Consider the following 22,083-nt stretch of genomic DNA (forward strand, 5'->3'; position numbering starts at 1 on the left):
ATTTCCAAAAGTTATGTTTGTTCATTTTTAGATAAGAAAAAACTGGTGAAGTTCTCCGTGATAAATTTCTCATTCATATCCAGAATTAATTTTCTGATTTCTTTCTATTGGTTTTTGGATTTCTTTTGGATCTGATTGAGCTTCTATAAAATCAATATTTTGAATTCTTTATCTGGCATTTCAGAAATTTCCTTTTGGTCAGCATCCATTGCTAGAGAGTTAGTGTAATCCTTTGAGGGGTGTCATAACTCCCTGACTTGACTTTTCATGCTTCCAGTATTATGCAGATTTTTTCTCATTTGGAGAAATAGTCACTTCTTATTATTGAATTTACTTGGGTTTGGACAGGACTTCCCCCCCTCTCCCCCACCCCCAAATCCTTGAGGATGTGACTGTAATATATGTTGTGCAGGGCTGTTTGGCTTTGCTTCCGGGTGCATTCAGTGGCAAAGACTATGTATGAATTCCTTGGTTGTAAATTACCATCATGTGGTGGCTTTTTCAAATGCTGTTTGTAGTAGCGGTATACCAGGCAGGTGAGCAGGCGCATGACCTCCTGTGAAGCCAGGGTTATAGGTCACAAGGAGCTCATCTCATTCATAAGTGCTATGGGCTTGTGTTACCAGATTTTGTCCTGTATTGTGCAGGTTGACCTCCAGGCCAGTCAGTGGCACTTGTAAGTAAGAGCTGGCTGTGGTGGTAGTAGTAAAATTCATGCTTGATCTTTGTTTACCAAGAGAAACTCTCCAGTGTCCCAGGCAATGGGCTGGATTATGGAATGCTCAGTGGTTTGGGTTTTATCCTCAGCCTGAGAGAGTGTGTGAAGCTGGGCAGAGCTGGACCAGGCAACCCTGCACTTTCGCTGCTCCCACCTCCCGGCCCCCCCACCTCCCAAACAGTGAATGCAACCACTATCTCTGAGGAGAGTTTAGGGAGCAGTCACCAAATGCCTGGAGATATGCCCAGTAAAGGGTAGAAACACTGCTGCTGCACCAGGTTCCTCACATGTGAAGACCAGGGCAGCCAAAGCTCCTAGACCAGGTGAGCTGGTGTGGGAATCTGCCTCCCTCTCACTCCTTAGAACCAATGGAGTTGAATCCCACCCTGGCATGAGCTGGGGCACTCAGGAAAGTCAGTGCAGACTGGCTTTAGATCACAGTGCCATCCCTGTCCACAAATCTTGCCACTTGGGGAAAACCATGGCTCTCTAGCAAATCTCCTCCCTCTCTGGTTCCACAAAGGGGGAAAGCCCAATTTCAGAACCCATGGCTTGAATGCACTCCACAACCACCACTCAGTTCTGGATGTGGGGGCCCTTCCCCACCTCCAGTCCCAGCACTCCATTCTCCAGCCCAAGAATCTCTAATGCCCATGGCTACTGTTGCCAGGTTACTGAATCCTGCCCAGTTTGTTGTGAGCCAAGATTGAGAAGAGCATCCTCCTGTTAGATCCCAGGTCTGAGAAAAATACTGGAGCATTTCCCAGCATTTTTCTTTCTCAGTCTCCTGGCCTCTCGCCATGTTAGCCCCAGGGCTTAGAAGGGCCGAGGTAGTTTCCCATGGCCTGGGTGGCATGGTTTCTCAGAGGAAAGGTAGATCACAGAGGTACACAATTTGCTCCTCTACCATATCGGGGACTTCACTCACAGTTCTCAGCCAGATGCTGCTACTCAGGGTGCCTTCTCACCTTTTATTTTCCAGGATTTGAATTTCTGTGCTCCTTCTTGAATAAAAGAGCACTATATGACTGTGCACTGTTTTGTGTGTGTGTGTGTTTTTTTTTTTTTTTGCTTCCAAATAGGTGAAGCATGCTAAAAGAGTCTCTGATCTGCCGCCTTGGGGGAAAAAAAAGAGAAGTCCTTTATTTCTTTATTGATCTTATCTTATATCTGGTGGTCCTATCCATTATTGAAAGTGGGCTATTGAAATCTCCTACTATTACTGTGTTGATATGTATTTATCCCTTCAATTCTGTCAATGTTTGCTTCACATATTTAAGAGCTCTGATATTTAGTGCATAAATATTTATAATTACTATATCATCCTGGTGAATTGACCCTTTAATCATTATATAGTATCCTTCTTAGTCTCTTGTGACAGTTTTTGACTTAAAGTCTATTCTGCCTCATATTAGTATAGATATCCCTGCTGTCTTTTGGTTATTGTCTGCATAGCATATCTTTTTTCATCCTTCAAGTTCAGCCTTTATGTGGTGTTAGATCTAAAGTGCTTCTATGCAGCATATCACTGGATCCTATTTTTATTTTTTTTATCCATTTAGCCAATATGTCTTTTGGCTGAGGGGTTTAATTGCCTCACTTTAAAGTAATTACCGATATGGAAGGATTTTCTGTTGCCATTTTGTTACCTGTTTCCTGTATATCTTGTGGCTTTTTGGACCCTCATTCTTCTGTTACTGTCTGTCTTTGACTCCCTTCTTTGTCCTTTTGTGTGCATTGTATGGATATTTTGTGGTTACCACTGCAATTGCAGAAAGTATCTTAAAGTTATAACAAATCTATTTTAGGCTAATAACTTAATTTCAATTGCATACACAAATTCTCCTTTACAGCTGCCATTTCCCCCCTTATGTTATTGTCATAAATTACCTGTTATATATATTGTGTACCAATTAACATAGATTTATAATTGTGTGTGTCTGTGATTTACTCATTTAGACTTGTATATACAAGAATTAAAAGTGGATTTATGCACTAGAATTACAATATAGGATTCTATATTTATTTAAATGTTTATCATTAGTGGAGAACTTTATAATTTCATATTACTATGTTGGTGCCTACCATCCTTTGTTTAATTTGAGGAACTCTCCTTAGTATTTATTGTCTAGTAACATTGACTAAACAGCTTTTGTTTATCTGGAAAGGTCTTCATTTCTTCTTCATTTCTGAAGGACAGTTTTGCTGGATACAGTATTCTTAGTTGATTTTTTTTTCTTTTAGCACTTTAATCATCCCATTTCTTTTTAGCCTTCAAGGTTTCTATTGAGAAATCTGCTGATAACCTTAGTTGGCTCACTTGTACGTGATGAGTTGTTTTTCTCTGGCTGGTTTCAAGATTCTTCCTTTGACTCATAACAGTTTGATTATAATGTGTCTTGGTATGGGTCTCTTCAGGTTTATCATAGTTGGAGTTCATTGAGTTTTGAGTTTGTAGGTCCATTTCTTTTATCAGCCTTGGGAAGTCTGTAGCCACTGTTTGTTCAAATAAGCTCTTTGTCCCTTTCTCTTTCTTTCCTCCTTTTGAGACTCCTATACTACATATATTATTCTGCTCAGGTTCTGTTAATTTATCTTCATTTTTTTTCTTTTTTCTCCTCAGTCTCAATAATTCCAAATGTGCTAACTTCAAGAACACTGATTCTTCTGCTTGCTTAAGTCTGCCATTGAACCCCTCTAGTGAATTATTTAGTTCACTTATATTTTTCAGGTCCACAGTTTATTTTTGTTTTTTTTTCAAGAGACAGGGTCTTGCTATGTTGCCCAGGCTAGTCTTGAACTCCTGAGCTCAAGCAATCCTCCCTTCTCAGCCTCCCAAAGTGCTAGGATCAGAGGCTTGAGCCATCATGCCTGGCTTTATAATTTTTTGAAAATAGTTTCTCTTTGTTGATATTCTTATTTTGTTCATGCATTGTCTTCCTGATTTCTGTGCAGTTCTGTGTTCTCTTGTAGGTCTTGATCATCTTTATGAGAGTTATTATAAATTCTTTTTTAGGAAGCTTACAGATCTGCATTTCTTTAAGGCAAATTTCTGGAGCTTAATTTTGTTCCTTTGGTCAGGCCATGGTCCCGTTTCTTTGTATGCCTTGTCGTCTTTTGTTGGGATTTGAGCATTTGAAGAAACAGCCACCTTTCTCAATCTTTATGAACTACTTTTACTTAGGGGAAAACTGTGACCAGTCAGGCTGGCTAGAGGTTCTAAGACCTCTCAGATTTTTCCTGGGGATGCGTTTTCTTTGGGGTTGTATGTTTACTTTTAGTGTATCTGGGTGCTTCTGACTGTCTTCTTTCCTGTGTCTTCGCGGGAGCCGTTTCTGTTGTAGTCCTCTGCCCTTAATCTCTTGCTCCCCCTAGAGCCTGCCTGCAGAACCGCAGAGTCTCTCCTGTCTAACATGCTAAGGCATTAACCTCTGTTTTCAGTGGCCTCTAATCTTGTACCCAAACTATGCAAACTGTCATTCTCATCAGTTCCCTGAGCAAAGCACTGCAACCCACAAACAAGTTAGCATGCTGGACTTAAGTTTCACTCTATTTCTTCTGTTCCAAGGGAGGTGTCAGGCAAGCAAAATGCAATGAACTCTCTTACCCTCTCAGGCACCATCCATTCTCTTGTTTTTGCACTTGCCTGAGTCCTGTAGTCCATTAACTAATTTCTAGATTTATCACAAAGCTATTTTTATGTATATGTTACAGGTGATTTGTCTCCATAGAAAAATGAGGGCCTGGAGCTTCCTAATCTGCCATCTTGCTAATGTCACTTATGTATATTATTTCCACAGTGTGTATATAGATCTACATAGATATATATATTTGAAAACTGCAGCAGGTGAGGACTAAATGCTTTTTCCTTGACAGACAAAACATTGTACTTATTCTCACCTTGAGTCCTTTTCCCAATCCTTACTGTTATTGAATTTCTTTTTATATTCCATTAGAAGATACATATAGCATATGGACTGTCTCCTCCCAAAACTTTCTGTAATACATTCTGCTTGGATATGCTAGTACTATTTTAAGGATGAAAAGTGTAGTAGGTCCTTCTATTAACATACTTATTTTCCAGAATATCACTACATGGATCAATTGTACTCTTTGCTATTCAGTAAGATAAAATGAAAATGTATCTCTACCAGTAAATGGAGTTCTTAGATGGTTTCATTTTCAAATGTGAAAATTAGGTTTCATTGTTCATTCTTAAAAGCAAACATTTATTGAAGGTCTATTTTGTGCAGATATCTTTACTGATTGGGGGATATAAAGATGAAGCAGACATAATCCCATCCTTAATGAGCTTACAGTGTGATAACAGGGTGGGGAGAGGGGGCAGAAAAAAATAAACAAATAGTGACAACATAGAAGTAGAGAAGAGGCCGGGTGCTGTGGCTCACGCCCATAATCCCAGCAGTTTGGGAGGCTGAGGCGGGCGGATTGCTTGAGCCAAGCAGTTCAAGACCAGCTTGGGCAACATGGCAAAACCCCATCTCTTAAAAAAAAGAAATACAAAAACTAGCCAAGCATGGTGGCAGACACATGTACTCCCAGCTACTTGGGAGGCTGAATGGGAGGAGCACCTGACCTGGGGAGGTTGAGGGCTGCAGTGAGCCGTGATCATGCCACTGCACTCCAGCCTGGGTGACAGGGTGAGACCTTGTCTCAAAAAAAAAAAAAAAAAAAGTAGAGGAGAAAAGTTTTTAGAAGATGCTAAAGGACATATTTTGGGTCCTTTATATTTGTAAATATGTTTAAATTGTGTTTTCCTCAATATAAAATGAAAGTAAGATCCATAGTGGCAGCAACTTAATATGGTTATAACTTTTAGAAAGGACACCAAGAGTTAGAAAAAAAATTTATATTAACTATTTTAAATCTGATAGTCTTAGATTACAGCTATAATATGTGATTATATTTTTGAAATATAATACTGAGTGTACTCAATTCCAGGAAAGGTTCTAGATGTGACTAGTACTTTGGTACCACCTACTAAACAAAGCTTAATGTCTTAAACTAATGAACTACAAAGAAGCAGAATTTTGGTGGGGGTGGGGTACAGGATGGGATAGGGAGTGATTATAGCCTGAATGACCTATTACTTTATAATCACCTTTGTGTTCAGTTTATGGAAAGGTTAAGTGTTTGGTCTGAAAGATCCTGAATTGGGTAAATTTGAATTATTGCTCGGAAGCATGAATTACCTAGAATTTTGCTTTGTCTTCCTAGAACACAGATTTTAGACTGGGAGTCCATGTGCCAAATTCAGTTTATAGATGTTTGATCTACAGTATTTAACAACTATTTTGAATTATTTACCAACACTTAAAAATTGGGACATTTAGGGCTGGGCATGGTGGCTCACGCCTGTAATCCCAGCACTTTGGGAGGCTGAGGCAGGCGGATCACAAGGTCAGGAGATCGAGACCGTCCTGGATAACACGGTGAAACCCTGTGTCTACTAAAAATTACAAATATTAGCCAGGCGTGGTGGCGGGCCCCTGTAGTCCCAGCTACTTGGGAGGCTGAGGCAGGAGAATGGCGTGAACCCGGGAGGCGGAGCTTGCAGTGAGCTGAGATTGCACCACTGCACTCCAGCCTGGGTGACAGAGCCAGACTCCATCTCAAAAGAAAAAAAAGAAAAAATTGGGACATTTAGGTGACCTTTCATTCTGTTTTGTGCAATGGAAGCTACCCTAATTCATAAAAAAATGGAGGGATTTAGCATAAAAATCCAGTGTTCAGGCTTTTTGAAAACTCAGATTTTGCAGTATTTGGCCTCCAATTCCTAAGAGCCACAGTCTCCTTAATCAGAATGGCTACTGCCCACTTTAGTGGGGCAGGCACACTCCACTTCATCCCAGTCCCCATTAAACTCTATTATTTCTATGACATCAAGGCTGAATATCTGTTCTACTTATCAGGCTTATACTTCTAAAGGCATCAAACTATAGATCACATGGGCCAAATGCAGCCCTACATCTGTTTTTTTTATGGCCCACAATCTAAGAATGGTTTTTATATTTTCAAATGGTTGAAAAAATACAAGAAAGATATATTTTTAGATGTGAAAATTATATGAAATTCAAATTTCAGTGTCCAAATAAAGTTTTATTGGAGCATAGCCATGCTTGTTTGTTTACATATTGTCTAAGGCTGCTTTTGTACTATAGTGTCGGAGTTGAGTAGTTGAGATAGAGGCCATATGACTTGAGAAGCCTAAACTAGTTACTATCTGGCCCTTTAAAAAATTTGCTCAGCCTTGATGCAGAACAAAAGGAAAAGCTCTCCTTACCCCCCTTTAAATTTTTTCCTTTTCTTGTCTCTTTCACTGTTTTTTTGCTATCCTATCTTAACATGTTCCTTTAGATCCAGGCTAGAATTACCTTATCAAATTCCATTTCACAGCAAGAATGAAAACAGTGAAAAACTCAGGAGACCAGGGTTCTGATCTCTGTGTTTAACTATCTGTGATCTTAGACAAGTCATTTAATCTCTCTGAGCTTCTATTTCCTCATTTGTTCAACAAAAGTGCTAAATTAGATCATCTCTAAAATATTTCTTACTTTCAATTCCATGAAGTAGACAAAAAAGAAAGAAGAGATAAGCTGGGTGAAAAAAAATGTAAAGGACAAAGACTAAAGAATGATTGGGAGACTCCTGGTTGCTAGGTAGGTAGGATAGAATAATAATTGCCACCTTTATTCAGTTAGCCCATTTGCATATATTATCTCTAATTCTCATAATGACCCTTTAAGGTAGGTATCATTACCCCATTTGCAGATACAGAAACTGAGGGTCAAAGAGGTTAATTGGCTTGCTCTAAACCAATATCTATTAAGTGGCAGAAGAATCAAGGTTCATACCTGAAATGTCTGGCACAAAGCCAGTGCTCTTCCATTTCAACAAACTGCTGAAGTCAAAAGAAGAGAAGTGAGCTAAGAGAACTTATTGCTGTTATACATTTGTCTTCTGAAATAAATGGCACTGTTTCTCTGGTGATCTTATACATTATTTTTTAAACCTATCTATTCTTTTGTTGGCTTTGTGCCTTCAAAGGAGATATCCTTTCCAGTCTAAAATCTCCAAAGGATTTTCAAGGTAAAACACTTTTCAAGATGTTCAATCACATGGAAGAATGAAAATCTTTTATAATATTGTTTGTTAAACTGACAGCTCTACTTAACAGAAACCATTAAAATATTTACAAAGTAGCAGCTGCTCTTGTAAAAAAATACAGCTTTTTGGAGGCATAAAAATAAACTAGTTGATAAGTACAAGATAAGCCATTTGGTGACTTCTTTATGTACATTGCACAATATATGGAAAATTCTGATATTTACACAGCAATTATACTACAAAGCCTTTTAAGTTAAAAGGACACAGGCTGAGTAAGAACTGAACTGTTTACAAGAATTTTCCATACTGATCTTGGAAACAATTTACGGAACCCCCAAACATAATCCTTTAATAAGCTTTACATTTTAGGTGTTTTTTATTTTTTTCCAAAAAAAGCTTTGTCTTTAGAAGATAGTTACATATGAATGAATCTCTATTGAACTCAGTTGCATTTTATATTCTACTAGAATTACAGCCAAGTTTCTTATATAAATAATTAGAAGTTGTGGAAAATAGATCAAGAGAGCAAACCAACATATGTTAACAAAAATGTTTAAAAGTAACTGAACATTTGCATTTTATGCCTTTATCTGTTCATATGACATTATTTATTTATTTAGAAACAAGGCCTTGCTGTGTTTTCCAGGCTGGAGTGCAGTGGCATGATCACAGCTCACTGCAACCTCTAACTGCTAGGTTTAAGCAATCCTCCCTAGCTCAGCCTCCTGGGTAGTTGGAAGTACAAGCACGAACCACCATGCCTGGCTAATTTTTAAATTACTTTTGTAGATATGGGGTCTAACTATGTTGCCTAGGCTAGTAATTTGATATTTTATATATAAGCTAAGTGATTTTTTTTAAAAAAGTAAACATTAAAAATTTGCATTGTTGGGTAAAATTAATTTTATCAAAATAGAGCAGTCATATGTAACTTTTACAACCCAGGTTTATTCATAAGGAAAAAAGTTTATATGTACGTGAAGGTGGCTTTTTGCGAAATTTTGAGTTAATGGAAGAATGATACTGGTCATGATCCTTGATAACATGAGCTTGCTGATTTATTTAATGACTTCTACTTACTGGTAAGACCATTAGATTGAAAAGAAAGAAAACCTTCTGGTAGTGATTTCTAAATCTGTGATATACTAATAGCTTGAGAAAACCACATACTTTCATTTTTAAATATCCCTATAAATTATGGAATTATTACAAACCTTTAAAAATGTTTTGATATTATTTTTTCTACCTTCAAGTTCACTTAGTTCACACTTTGTTGTCCTTCCAAATACAGTATTTTCCATGCTGCTCTTAAAGAAAATAATATTTTTCCATTTTTTTAGAACTAGAAGAAGGCAAGAGACTAAGATGATGATGGAGGAAGTGTTAGGATGTTCAATAAGTGTCAGCAGCTTATCAAAAGAAAGAAAGAAAAAAAAATAGTGTTACCTTGACCCAAAAGGGTGATAACAGGCAACTTATCTTTTAGGGTAAATGTTATGAAGTCCCATACTGTTGGTCTTAGTTACTTCAAAGTGTTGATGTGATCTCTATGGAAGTTATGCCTTCCTGTGTAAGAAATACCCACATATATATTGTTGACAGTTCTTTTCATTAGAAAAATAAGTAAGCAAAACAGGAAAAATATGCAATTATAATGTGTTATATTTATGTACAAAAGTTTGTCTTTAACATTGAGTTTTCCCTTCTCATCTTAGAAATCTTTGATATGAGTTGATGTGCCTATATGGAAATAAGTAGTCATTCTTTGGGGAGATGTAAAGGTATTGAGATTAAAGTATTTTCTAAAAATTTCATTTTCAGTTATCATTACTATGTATTGATTGATACATTGAGTTTCAGTGTCTATATATTATCAAAGCATATCACAGGAAAAAGTAGATATTTGAACCAGTTTATTCCAGCATAACTTGATAGGAAAAGAAACTTTCTTAAACAAGATCAGATTTCAGTTTTCATTGCTTGTTGCAAGTAGAAAATAAAATCAATATCAGGAATCACAAAATCTGTTTATTGTATTTCAGTAGTAATCAGATGGTTTTTTACATCTAAAATGTACTGGTAGGATACTAGTTATTACTGTTTTTTTAAAATATATTTTCTCAAAAATGTATGGTAATTTTATAGTTAAATATAGGGCTAGGAAATATATAAACAAGTGACTAGTCTTGATTAAATGACTTAATCTTTACATTTCAGAAATTTTTTCTTTTAGAGTTAATATTTAACTTATTTTGCACTTATTCTTTAAATTTTTATTGACTCAAAACCAAGATGACATTTTTATAATTGGTAGAGGAGTCAAAGGCTGATGAGCCTTTTTATTCAGTGTTTCATATACGCAAATTTACAAACTGTTCAAATAAACTGTACTGAGTCAGGCAACAATAATTACTGATAATTATGAGATTTATTCTAGACTCTGCCATGTGATCTTAAGCAGGTCACGTAATCTCTCAGATTGTTGGAAGTGGCATTTAGAAGTGGGCATCTTACATATTATTGGTAAATCAATACAGTTTACCCTTGACAACATGGGTTTGAACTGCATGGGTCCACTTATACATGGATTTTTTTTTGAGACAGGGTCTCATTCTGGCATCCAGGCTGGAGTGCAGTGATCACAGATCACTGCAGCCTCAAACTCCTGGGCTTAAGTGATCCTCCTGCCTCAGCCTCCCAAAGGGTTATAGGCGTGAGCCACCATGCCAGGACAGACATAGATTTTTTCAACAAATATATTAAAAAAAAGTTTTTGGAGGTTTGTGACAATTTGAAAAAACTCACAGATGAACCACGTAGGCTAAAAATATCCAAAAAAATTAAGAAAAGGATATTTCATGAATTCAAAAAAACATGTAGATACTAGTCTAAGATAAATACAATCTGTTATAAAAAGTTAAAATTTATCAAAATGTATACACACACTTATAGACCATACATGGAACCATTCAATCAAAAGAAATGTTAACAAATATAAAGATTGAACATTAAGTCATAATAGCATCAAATTAACTGTAGTACACATAATGTACTACTGTAATAATTGTATAGCCACCTCCTGTTGCTACTGTGGTGGATTTGAGGTTTTTGAGTATCTGCTTAAAATGCTGCATGATGCTAATCATCTATGCATGAGCAGTTTGTCTCTTAAGTAAATTGTGTATCATAGTAAAAAGTGATCTTTTGTGATTCTTGTGTATTTTTCATTATATTTAGTGCAATACCAGAAACCTTGAATAACACTATCAGTTCCCTGTGAAGTGCCACTAGTGATGCTGGAATTTCTGCCAAGAAGCAGAGAAAAGTCCTGACGTTACAAGAAAATGTTGAATAATGTTGAATTGCTTGATATGTACAATGGACTGGGGATCTGCAGCTGTGGTTGCTCACCATTTCAAGATAAATGAATCCAGCATGAGGACCATTCTAAAAAAGGAAAAGGAAATTCATGAAGCTGTCACTGAAGCTATGCCAGCAGGTGCTAAAATCTTGCACTTTTTGCAAAATACCCTTTTATCTTGTTTTGAAAATACAGCTTTCATGTGGGTACAGGATTCCTATGAGAAAGACATATCCATAGACTATAATGATTTGAGAAAATGTGAAGTCATTATATGACAACTTAAAGCAAAAGGAAGGTGAAGGATCTAAAGCTGGAGAATTTAATGCCAGCAAAGGATGGTCTGATAATTTTAGACAGGTGTTTGGCTTTAAAAATATCAAGATAACAAGAGAAGCAGCTTCTGCTGACCAAGAAGCAGCAGACAAGTTCTCAGCCACCATTAAGAAAATCATTGAGAAGAAAGGATATCTACCTGAGGTGTTTAATGTAGACAAAAGTGCTTGACTCTTGGGGAAAAAAATGCCACAAAGGACATTTATTAGTAAGGAAGACATGAGTGCCTCCGACTATGAGTAGTCAGACCATGAGGAAGAAGACATAGAAGAACCAGTGCCAGAAAACAAATTGACAGACAATCTGGCAGAAGGGTTCTGACTGTTCAAGACTGCTTTTGACTACTTCTGACACAGACCCTTCTATGAAACAAGCACTGAAACTAAAGCAAACAATGGAAGAAGGATTGGTACAATACAGAAACATTGTTAGAGAAATGAAAAAGAAATAAACAAATTATGATGTATTTCCATAAAGTTACACCAAGTATGCCTACCTCTCTCTTGCCTCTCCTTCAACCTCCTTCATGTATTCTGCCTCTGCCACCCCAAGACAGCAATACCCACCCCTCCTCTTCCTCCTTCTCAGCCTACTCAACACAAAGACAACACGGATGAAGACCTTTATGATAATTCACTTTCATTTAATGGTAAATGTATTTTCCCTTCCTTATGATTTTTATAATAAAATTTTCTTTTTTTCTAGCTTACTCTATTGTAAGAAGATAGTATATAATATAACATAAAACATATGTTAATTGATTGCTTATGCTATTGGTAATGCTTCCAATCAACAGTTGGCTACTAGTAGTTAAGCTTTGGTAAAGTCAGAAGTTATACATGTATTTTCTACTTCATGGGGGTGCCCCTAAACCCCCACCTTGTTCAAGGGTTAGTTGTACTTTTAAAAGGGCAATTTGGCAGTATTAATAAGAATAAAAATAAAAATATTCATACTCTTTGGCCTAGAAAGCCTACCTATTGAAGTACATCCTGTAAAAAACATCAATAGAATGAGCATGAAGATATGTATAAGGGTACTTATGGAAGCTTGTGATTAAACATACATTATTTATTATGGAAATTTCAACATATCTGAAACTAGCCATTATTTAGCTCCCACTTATAAGTGAGAACATGCAATATTTGTCTTTCTGTGTTTGACTTGTTTCACTTAATATAATGGCCTCCAGTTCTATCCATGTTGCTGCAAGACCTCCTTTTCTACCACATCTTACCTAGCCAAAGAAAGTTCTCTGGATCATTTAATTAGATTGGGCCCACCTGGATAATACAGAATAATTTCTCTGTAATCTTAGTTAAATCTGCAAAGTCCCTTTTGCCATGTAACGTAGCATATTGACAGGTTCTAGGGATTAGAATGTGAACATCTCTCAGGGGAGATATTTTGTCTACTGCTCATTTTTAGGAAGGGTTCTCCCATTTACAGGTTATACCAGAGTTGACCTTTGTTTTCTTCTAGTACTTATATGGTTTCGTTTGTTTACATTTAAATCCCTCATCCTTCTGGAATTTATTATGGTGTGAGGAGTGAATCCAATTTTATCATTAAAAAATCTAATACACTTATGGAAATTCCATTTATTAAAAAGCTGAAGTTCATCTTTTCTCCACTGATTTGAACTGCTTTTATCATACACTAAATTTCCATACAGATTTTCTGCTCATTTCCATTGGGATACCAATATACTCTGGAATTTTAATTAAAGAGTTTTTACAGTATGTTTAAATGTCTATGGGGCTAGGTTCTTTTTACTATTCTTTTGCAGGATATTCCCAGATTTTTTTTTAATTGGCTTTCCAAATAAATTTTACAATTAACTTGTGGATGCCAGGGAAAAACAGTCTGATGGTATTTTTATATGCATAATGTTAAATTTGTAAGTTAACTTTGGGAGGGGTGATCCCCTGTGTTGGAGGAAGAGCCTGGTGGGAGGTGATTGGATCATGGAGGCAGATTTTGCCCTTGCTGTTCTAGTAATAGTGAGTGAGTTATCAGGAGATCAGATTGTTTGAAAATGTGTGGCACCTTCACCTTCACTCTCTTCCTCCTGCTCGCCCTTCAACTTCTGCCATGACTATAAGTTTTCTGAGGCCTCTTAACTTTGTAAATTACCCAGTTTCAGATAGTTCTTTATAGCAGTGTGAGAAAGGACTAATACAGAAAAGTGGTACTGGGAGAGGGGCATTGCTATAAAGATACCTGAAAATGTAGAAGCAACTTTGGAACTGGGTAGTGGGCAGAAGTTGGAACAGTTTGGAGGGCTCAGAAGAAGACAGGAAGATGAGGGAAAGTTTGGAGCTTCTTAGAGACTGGTTAAATTGTTGAAGTCCAGGCTAAGGTGGTCTCAGATGGAGATGGAAACTTACTGGGAACTGGAGTAAAGTCACTCTTGCTATGCTTTAGCAGAGACTGACAGCATTGTGCCCCTGCTCTGGGGATCTGTGGAACTTTCAACTTGAGAGTCATGATTTAGGGTATATGGTGGAAGGATTTCTAAGCAGCAAAGCATTCAAGGTTTGGCCCAGCTGCTTCTAACAATGTGCGGTCATATGAGTGAGTAGAGATGATCTGAAACTGGAATTTATATTTAAAGGGGAAGCAGAGTGTAAAAGTTTGCAAAATTTGCAGCCTGACCATGTGGTAGAAAAGAAAAATCTACTTTCTGGGAGGCTGCAGAAATTTGCATAAGAGGAGCTGAATGTTAGTAAAGACAATAAGGAAAATGCCTCCAAGGCATTTCAGAGACCCTTGCAGCAGCCCCTCCTATCACAAGCCTGGAGGCCTAGGAGGGAAGAATAGTTTTGTGGGCAAGGCCCGGGGCCCTGCTGCTCTGTGCCGCCTCCAGACATGGCACCCTTCATTGTGGCTGTTCCAACTCCAGCCATGGCTAAAATGAGCCAAGGTATAGCTTGGGCCATTGCTTCAGAAGAGTACAAGCCCTAAGCCTTGGTGGCTTCCATGTGGTGTTAAGCCTGCAGGTGCACAGTGTAAGAGTTGAGGCTTGGGAACGTCAGCCTACATTTCAGAGGATGTATGGAAACGCCTGGATGTCCAGGCAGAAGTCTGCTGCAGGGGCAGGACCCTCATGGAGAACTTCTACTACAGCAGTGCAGATGGGAACTGTGGGGTTGGAGGCCCCCCAACCGACCCACAGAGTCCCCACTGGGGCACTGCCTAGTGGAGCTGTGAGAAGTGGGCCATCATCCCCCAGACCCCAGAATGGTAGATACACGAATAACTTGTACTGTGCACCTGGAAAAACCACAGGCACTCAACAGCAGCTCATGAAAGCAGCCATGGGAGCTGAGCCCTGCAGAGCCAAAGGGGCAGAGCTGTCCAAGGCCTTGGGAGCCCACTGCTTGCATCAGCATGTGCTTGATGTGAGACATGGAGTCAAGGGAGATTATTTTGGAGCTTTAAGAGCTAATGACTGCTCTGGTGGGTTTCAAACTTGCATGGGGCCTGTAGTCCCTTTGTTTTGGCTGATTTATCCCTTTTGGAATGGGTGTATTTATCCAATGCCTGTACCCCCATTGTATCTTGGAAGTAACTAGTTTTTGATTTTACAGGTTCATAGGTGGAAGGGACTTGTCTTTTTTAAGATGAGAAAAGGGAAAACTCATGCATTGTTGGTGGGAATGTAATTTAGTACATCCACTATGGAGAACAGGTTGGAGGTTCCTCAAAAAACTAAAAATAGAGCTACCATATGATTCAACAATCCCACTGCTGGGTATCTACTCAAAAGAAGGTATATTAGCCTATCAAAGAGATATCTGCACTCCCATGTTTGTTGCAATGTTGTTCACAGGAGCCAAGACTTGGAAGCAACCTAAGTGTCCATTAGCAGATGAATGGATAAAGAAAATGTGGTATATATACACAATGGTATACTATTCAGCCATAAAAAAGAATGAGATCCTTTTATCTGCAACAACACGGATGGAAGTGGATGAAATAAGCCAGGCACAGAAAGACAAACTTATCATGTTCACTTATTTATGAGAGCTAAAAATTAGAATGATGGAACTCAGAGAGAATAGAACCCAGAGGAACCCAGAGGCTGGAAAGGGTAGTGGGGGAGAGTGAGGATGTTTATTGGGTACAACAAAATGGAAAGAATGAATAAGACCTAGTATTTGCTAGCACAACAGGGTATCTACGGTAAAAAATAATTGTACATTTAAAAATAACTAAAGGAGTATAATTGGATTGTATGTAAGATAGACAGTAGAAGGATGGTTACTAGAGCTGGGAAGGGTAGTGGGGAGGTGAGGATGAGTTAAGACTTTGGGGGACTGTTAGGAAGGCATGATTGTGTTTTGAAATGTGAGAAGGACATGAGATATGGGAGGGGCCAGGGGCTAAATGATATGGTTTGGGTCTGTGTCATCACCCAAATCTACCAAATCTAATGTCAAATTGTATTTCCCAATGTTGGAGGAGGAGCCTGGTGGGAGGTAATTAGATCATGGGGGAGGATTTCCCCCTTGCTGTTCTCATAATAGAGAGTGAGTTCTCATGAGATCTCGATGTTTAAAAGTGTGTGGCACCTTCACCTTCACCTTCACTCTCTTCCTCCTGCTCCAGACATGTAGGACATGCCTGCTTCCTCTTTGCCTTCCACCATGATTATAAGTTTCCTGAGGCCTCCCCAGCCATGCTTCCTGTACAGCCTGCAGAACTGTGAGTCAATTAAACCTATTTTCTTTATAAATTACCCAGTCTCAGGAGGTAGTGCCTTTTAGCAATGTGAGAATGGACAAATACAAAAATCATACTTGCAAACTGGAATAAACCCCACTTGGTCATGATATAGTATTTTAAAAACGTGCTTTGGATTCCACATGCTAATACTTAAAAGTTTTTACACTGATACTCATTGAGTGAGAATGATCTGCAGTACAATAGGTTTTAAGGTTTTAGATCAATGTTGTACTTTATAATATCAATTTTGACAATTTCCTCTTTTTTAATGTTCTAGTAAAGTTTAAGAACCACAGGTAATCTGATTTTTACAGGTTAGGTAGAATTTCATCACTAAACTTTTTGAGCCAGGACTATTATTGTGGGGGGAGCACTTTAAGTTTCTTATTCTCTTCTAAGGTAATTTGTCATTTAGGACTTAATGTTAGTCTGGTAAACCGTAATTTTCTTAGAAATTATCCATCCAATGTGACTCTTCAAATATATTTGCATAGAGTTGTATGAAGTATTCTCTTATAATACTTAAAATTTTCTGTTTGGTAATTATTCATCATTTCTATTTTGTATATTTGTGCCTTTTCCCTTCCTCCAACAGCTGATTATTTTTGTGATTCATTTTTCAAGTGGCTAAATTTGGGATTTGTTAGTTCTGTTGTTTTTCTATTTTCTAGATTTAACTTCTATAAATTCTAGCATTAATTTCTGCTTTTTTAATTCAGTCCTTCCTTCTGCCTTTTTTTTTGAGGACTGCTCTATTTCACAGCTTTTAAGATTTTCTGATTTTCTTAAATTTCATTTTTATTGATATAAACATTAAGTACTATATATTTTACCCTAATAACTCAATCATTTTATATATATATAGGATTTTCTTTAGTTTTATTTTCAAGAAATTCTGCAGTTTAAGAATTATTCAATAGTTATTAAGATGCCACATAGCAGGCCTTTTGATTGTATTTTGTTAATCATTTCTCATTTTATTGCTTTCACATCAGGGTGTATTTTTCTCTATTGTTTCTGTTCTTTGAAATTGACTTATGATTGAAGTTTCATTTGTTGCCTAAGATATGGCCAACTTTTCCTGAATGTTCCCATCAGCACTTAAAAAAAGGCATATCCTCCATTATCAGAATTCAGAGTTTACTACAGATCTAAAAGATCTACCTCATTGATTATGTTGTTTAGATTTTCTATTTCCTCCATAATTTTTTTCCACGTGATTTTTCTTAAATTGAGAGAGGTATGTTAAAGTTTCCTTTTATAGTGCAGTTCTTTCTATCTCTACTTGCAGCCCTGTAACTTCTGCTTAATGAAAGCTGTTGCTGTGTTATTAGGAGATTCCATAAAGCGTTACATCTTCCTTGTGAATTGTAGTATTTAGCATTATGAAAGCCCTCCTTCTGTCTCTTTTTGATCTGAATTATATACCTTTCTCAGATACCAAGACTGCGCATCACATTACATTTGTCTGCATCTTTGTTTATCCTTTATTTTCAACCATTCTAAATCAATCTCTCATTCTTCCTCCTCCTCCTTCCTTCCCTTGTCTGTGTATCTATCTGTGTATCTTACATTCAGCCTAGTTTTAGATTTTGCTCTGTTACTAATCTGAACTTTTTATAAGTGAGTTCAGCCCATTTACATTCATTGATAAGATCTTTATATCGGGCCTCAAATTTGTCATATTGTTTCATTGTACACACGTACAGAGTCTGTGTTGTCTGCCTTATTTGGGGTGCATATGTGTGTGTGTATAAACTTTTAATACTTAGTAAAGTTTGTATTTATTCCAATAGTTGCATTTATATCAGTTGCTTTATATAATACCCTTGGCACCTGTCTTTTTTATTAATTTTAAAAAAAATTTTTGTGGGTACATAGTAGGTATAGATCTTTACAGAGTATATGAGATGTTCTGAAACAGGCATGCAATGTATAATAATCACATTGTGGAAATGGGGTATCCATCACCTCAGGCATTTATCCTTTCTATTACAAACAATCCAATTATACTCTTTTAGTCATTTTAAAGTGTACAATTAAATTATTATTGACTAAAGTCACCCTGCTGTGCTGTCAAATACTATGTCTTATTCATTATTTCTAACTATCTTTTTTTGGTATGTATTAACCATCTCCAACTCCCCACTAACCCTTCCCAGCTCTGGTAACCATCCTTCTACTCTCTATTTTACAATCCAATTATGCTCTTTTAGTTATTTTAAAATGTACAACTATTTTTTACCATAGACACTGTGTTGTGCTAGCAAATACTAGGTCTTATTCATTCTATTTTGTTGTACCCAATAACCATCCTCACTTCCCCGCTACCTCCATTACCCTTCCCAGCCTCTGGTAACCATCCTTCTACGCTATCTGAGTTCAATTATTTTAATTTTTAGCTCTTATAAATAAGTGAGAACATGAGAAGTTTGTCTTTCATCCTTCTACTCTCTCTGAGTTCCATCATTTTAATTTTTAGCTCTTATAAATGAGAACATGAGAAGTTTGTCTCTCTGTGCCTGGCTTATTTCATCCAGTTCCATCCGTGTTGTTGCAGATAACAGGATCTCATTCTTTTTTATGGCTGAATAGTATGCCATTGTGCATATATACATTTTCTTTATCCATTCATCTGCTGATGGACACTTAGGTTGCTTCCAAGTCTTGGCTCCTGTGAACAACATTGCAACAAACATGGGAGTGCAGATATCTCTTTGATAGACTAATGTACCTTCTTTTGAGTAGATACCCAGCAGTGGGATTGTTGACTCATGTGGTAGCTCTATTTTTAGTTTTTTGAGGAACCTCCAACCTGTTCTCCACAGTGGTTGTACTAAATTACATTCCCACCAACAGTGTATGAGTTTTCCCTTTTCTCCACATCCTCACCAGCTTTTCTTATTACCTGTCTTTTGGATAATAGCCATTTTAATTGGGGTGAGATGATATCCCACTGTAGTTTTGATTTGCATTTCTCTGATGATCAGTGATGTTGAGCACATTTTTATATGCCCGTTTGCCTTTTTTTTTTTTTTTTTTTTTTGAGACAGAGTCTCACTCTGGTCACCCAGGCTGGAGTGCAATGGTGCAGTCTTGGCTCACTGCAACCTCCACCTCCAAGGTTCAAGCGATTCTCTTGCCTCAGCCTCCCGAGTAGCTGGGATTACAGGCACCTGCCACCACGCCCGGATAATTTTTGTATTTTTAGTTGAGTCGGGGTTTCACCATGTTGGCCAGGCTGGTCTGAAACTCCTGAACTCAGGTGATCTGCCCGCCTCAGCCTCCCGAAGTGTTGGGATGACAGGCATGAGCCACTGCGCCTGGCCTGTACTTTTGAGAAATGTCTATTTAAATCTTTAGCTCATTTTTAAATAGGATTATTACATGTTTTTTTTCATACAGAGTTGTTTAAATTCCTTATATATTCTGGTTATTAATCCCTTGTGAGATGGGTAGTTTGCGGTATTTTCCCCCATTCTGTGGCTTGTCTCTTCACTTTGTGGATTGTTTCCTTTGCTGGGTAGAAGCTTTTAAACTTGATATGATCCCATTTGTCCATTTTTGCTTTAGTTACCTGTGCTTGTGGGGTATTACTTAAGAAGTTTCTACCCAGACCAATGCCCTGGAGCATTTCCCCAATATTTTCTTGTATTAGTTTGAGGTTGTAGATTTAAGTCTTCAGTCATTTTATTTTGATTTTTGTATATGGCAAGAGATACAGGTTTAGTTTCATTCTTCTACATATGGATATCCAGTTTTCCCAGTACCATTTATTGAAGAGATTGTCTTTCCCCCAGTGTATGCTTTTGTCACCTTTGTTGAAAATGAGTTCACTGGAGGTGCGTGGATTTGTTTCTGGTTAGCTATTTTGTTCCATTGGTCTGCATGTCTATTTTTATGCCAGTACCATGTTGTTTTGGTTACTATAGCTCTGTAGTATAATTTTAAGTAAGGTAATATGATTCTTTTTGCTTAGGATTGCTTTGGCTACTCTGCGTCTCTTGTGGTTCCATGTAAATTTTAGGATTTTTTTTCTATTTCTGTGAAGGATGTCAGTGGTATTTTGATATGGATTGCATTGAATATGTAGATTGTTTTGGTAGTATGGACATTTTATCAATATTGATTCTTCCAATCCATGAACATGGAATATCTTTCTACTTTTTGGTGTTCTCTTCAATTTCTTTCATCAGTGTTTTCTAGTTTTCATTATACAGATCTTTCACTTCTTTGGTTAAATTAATTCCTAGGTATTTTATTTTATTTGTGGCTATTATAAATGGGATTACTTTTTAAATTTCTTCTTCACATTGTTCATTGTTGGGATATAGAAATGCTACTGATTTTTGTAGGTTGATTTTGTAACCCGCAGCTTCACTGAATTTATCAGTTCTCACAGTTCTTTTGTGTGGATTCTTTAAATTTTTTCAAGTGTAAGATCATAGCATCTGCAAACAAGGACAGTTTGACTTCTTCCTTTCCAATATGGATGCCCTTTATTTCTTTCTCTTGTCCGATTGCTCTTGCTAAGACCTCCAGTACTATGTTGAGTAACAGTGGTGAAAGCGGGCATCCTTGTTGTGTCCCCATACTTAGAGGAAAGGCTTTCGTTTTTTTCTCATTCGGTATGTTACCAGCTGTGGGTCTGTCATATATGGCTTTTATTAAGCTGAGGTATATTCTTTCTACACCATTTTTGATGGTTTTTATCCTGAAGTGATGTTGAATTTTATCAAATGCTTTTTTGGCATCAAATGAAAATGATCATACGGCTTTTGTCTTTCATTCTGTTGATATGATGTATCACATTCATTGATCTGTGTATTTTGAACCATCCTTTCCTCCCAGGAATAAATTTCACTGGGTCATGATGAACGCTCTTTTTAATGTATTGTTCAATTTGGTTTGCTAGTATTTTGTTGAGGATTTTTGCATCAATATTCATCAGAGATATTCACCAGTTGCTTTCTTTTTTTCCTGTCATTTTTAGAGGAGTACTGTCTGTTGGTTCTCTACTATGAGCATTACTCGAATTAGTAACCAATTTCCCCCTTTATCCTTTTTCTCTCCCAGTGTCAGATATGAAGTAATACACTTCTTGTTTCTAGCCAGCATCTGTAAGGCAGTCCTTTATTAATTTTATTTTTTTCATTTTCTTTGAGACACAGTCTCACTCTGTCATCCAGGCTGGAGTGCAGTGGCTCATGGCTCACTGCAGCCTTGACCTCCTGGACTCATGCAATTTTCCCACATCAGCCTCCTGAGAAGCTGGGAGTACAGGAGTGTGCCACCATGCCTGGCTAATTTTTGTACTTTTTATAGAGATGGAGTTTTGCCATGTTGCGCAGGCTGGGCTCAAGTGATCCTCCTGTCTCAGCATCCCACTTATTGTATTTTTATTCTACTCTTCTTATTCTCCCTATATTTTTATTTGTTTTGGGTTGTATCATTATCTCACTTTAACCATCATTTAGTTTTATTTTTAATTTACTTACAAGCTAATAGTTTTTCATTTACTGTGGTAAAAAACCCATAAAAATGGTTAAGATAGTAACTTTTCTTAAGTGAATACTTCAGTAGTGTTGACTATACTCACATTGATGGGCAACAAATTGCTTGAACTTCTTTTTAATCTTGCAAAACTGAAACCCATTAAAAACTAATTCTCCTCCTCCCTTTTCTCCAGCTCTTGACAACCACCACTTTGTTTCTATGAGTTATGACCACTGTAGTTACTTCATATGACTGGAATCATATAGTATTTACCCTTTTGTGACTGGCTTCATCAGTTAGTTTTAAATGTAGA

General features: G+C 37.2%; 1 protein-coding gene and 1 long non-coding RNA gene across 19 annotated transcripts in view, besides 1 other annotated feature; one reads left to right on the forward strand and one right to left on the reverse strand.

Moving 5' to 3' along the window:
* The window catches only part of WDPCP (WD repeat containing planar cell polarity effector), a 721,268-nt gene that overhangs the window by 65,480 nt on the left and 633,705 nt on the right, over positions 1-22,083 (reverse strand). The window lies entirely within an intron of this gene.
* Positions 542-1,043: an enhancer, noted in NCBI's record as "H3K27ac hESC enhancer chr2:63412715-63413216 (GRCh37/hg19 assembly coordinates)". NCBI's record gives its function as "activates a minimal SCP1, AML or CMV promoter by ChIP-STARR-seq in naive H9 embryonic stem cells {active_cell/tissue: H9 hESC(naive)}" and the evidence as "EXISTENCE:reporter gene assay evidence [ECO:0000049][PMID:30033119]".
* LOC107985769 (uncharacterized) lies at positions 9,496-16,197 on the forward strand. The gene is made up of 3 exons (XR_001739097.2): positions 9,496-9,627; positions 11,084-12,192; positions 16,158-16,197. It is a non-coding gene; the product is annotated as an uncharacterized LOC107985769 (long non-coding RNA).

The sequence above is a fragment of the Homo sapiens genome, chromosome 2 (assembly GCF_000001405.40).
Source record: "Homo sapiens chromosome 2, GRCh38.p14 Primary Assembly".
NCBI classification, from domain to species: Eukaryota; Metazoa; Chordata; class Mammalia; order Primates; family Hominidae; genus Homo; species Homo sapiens.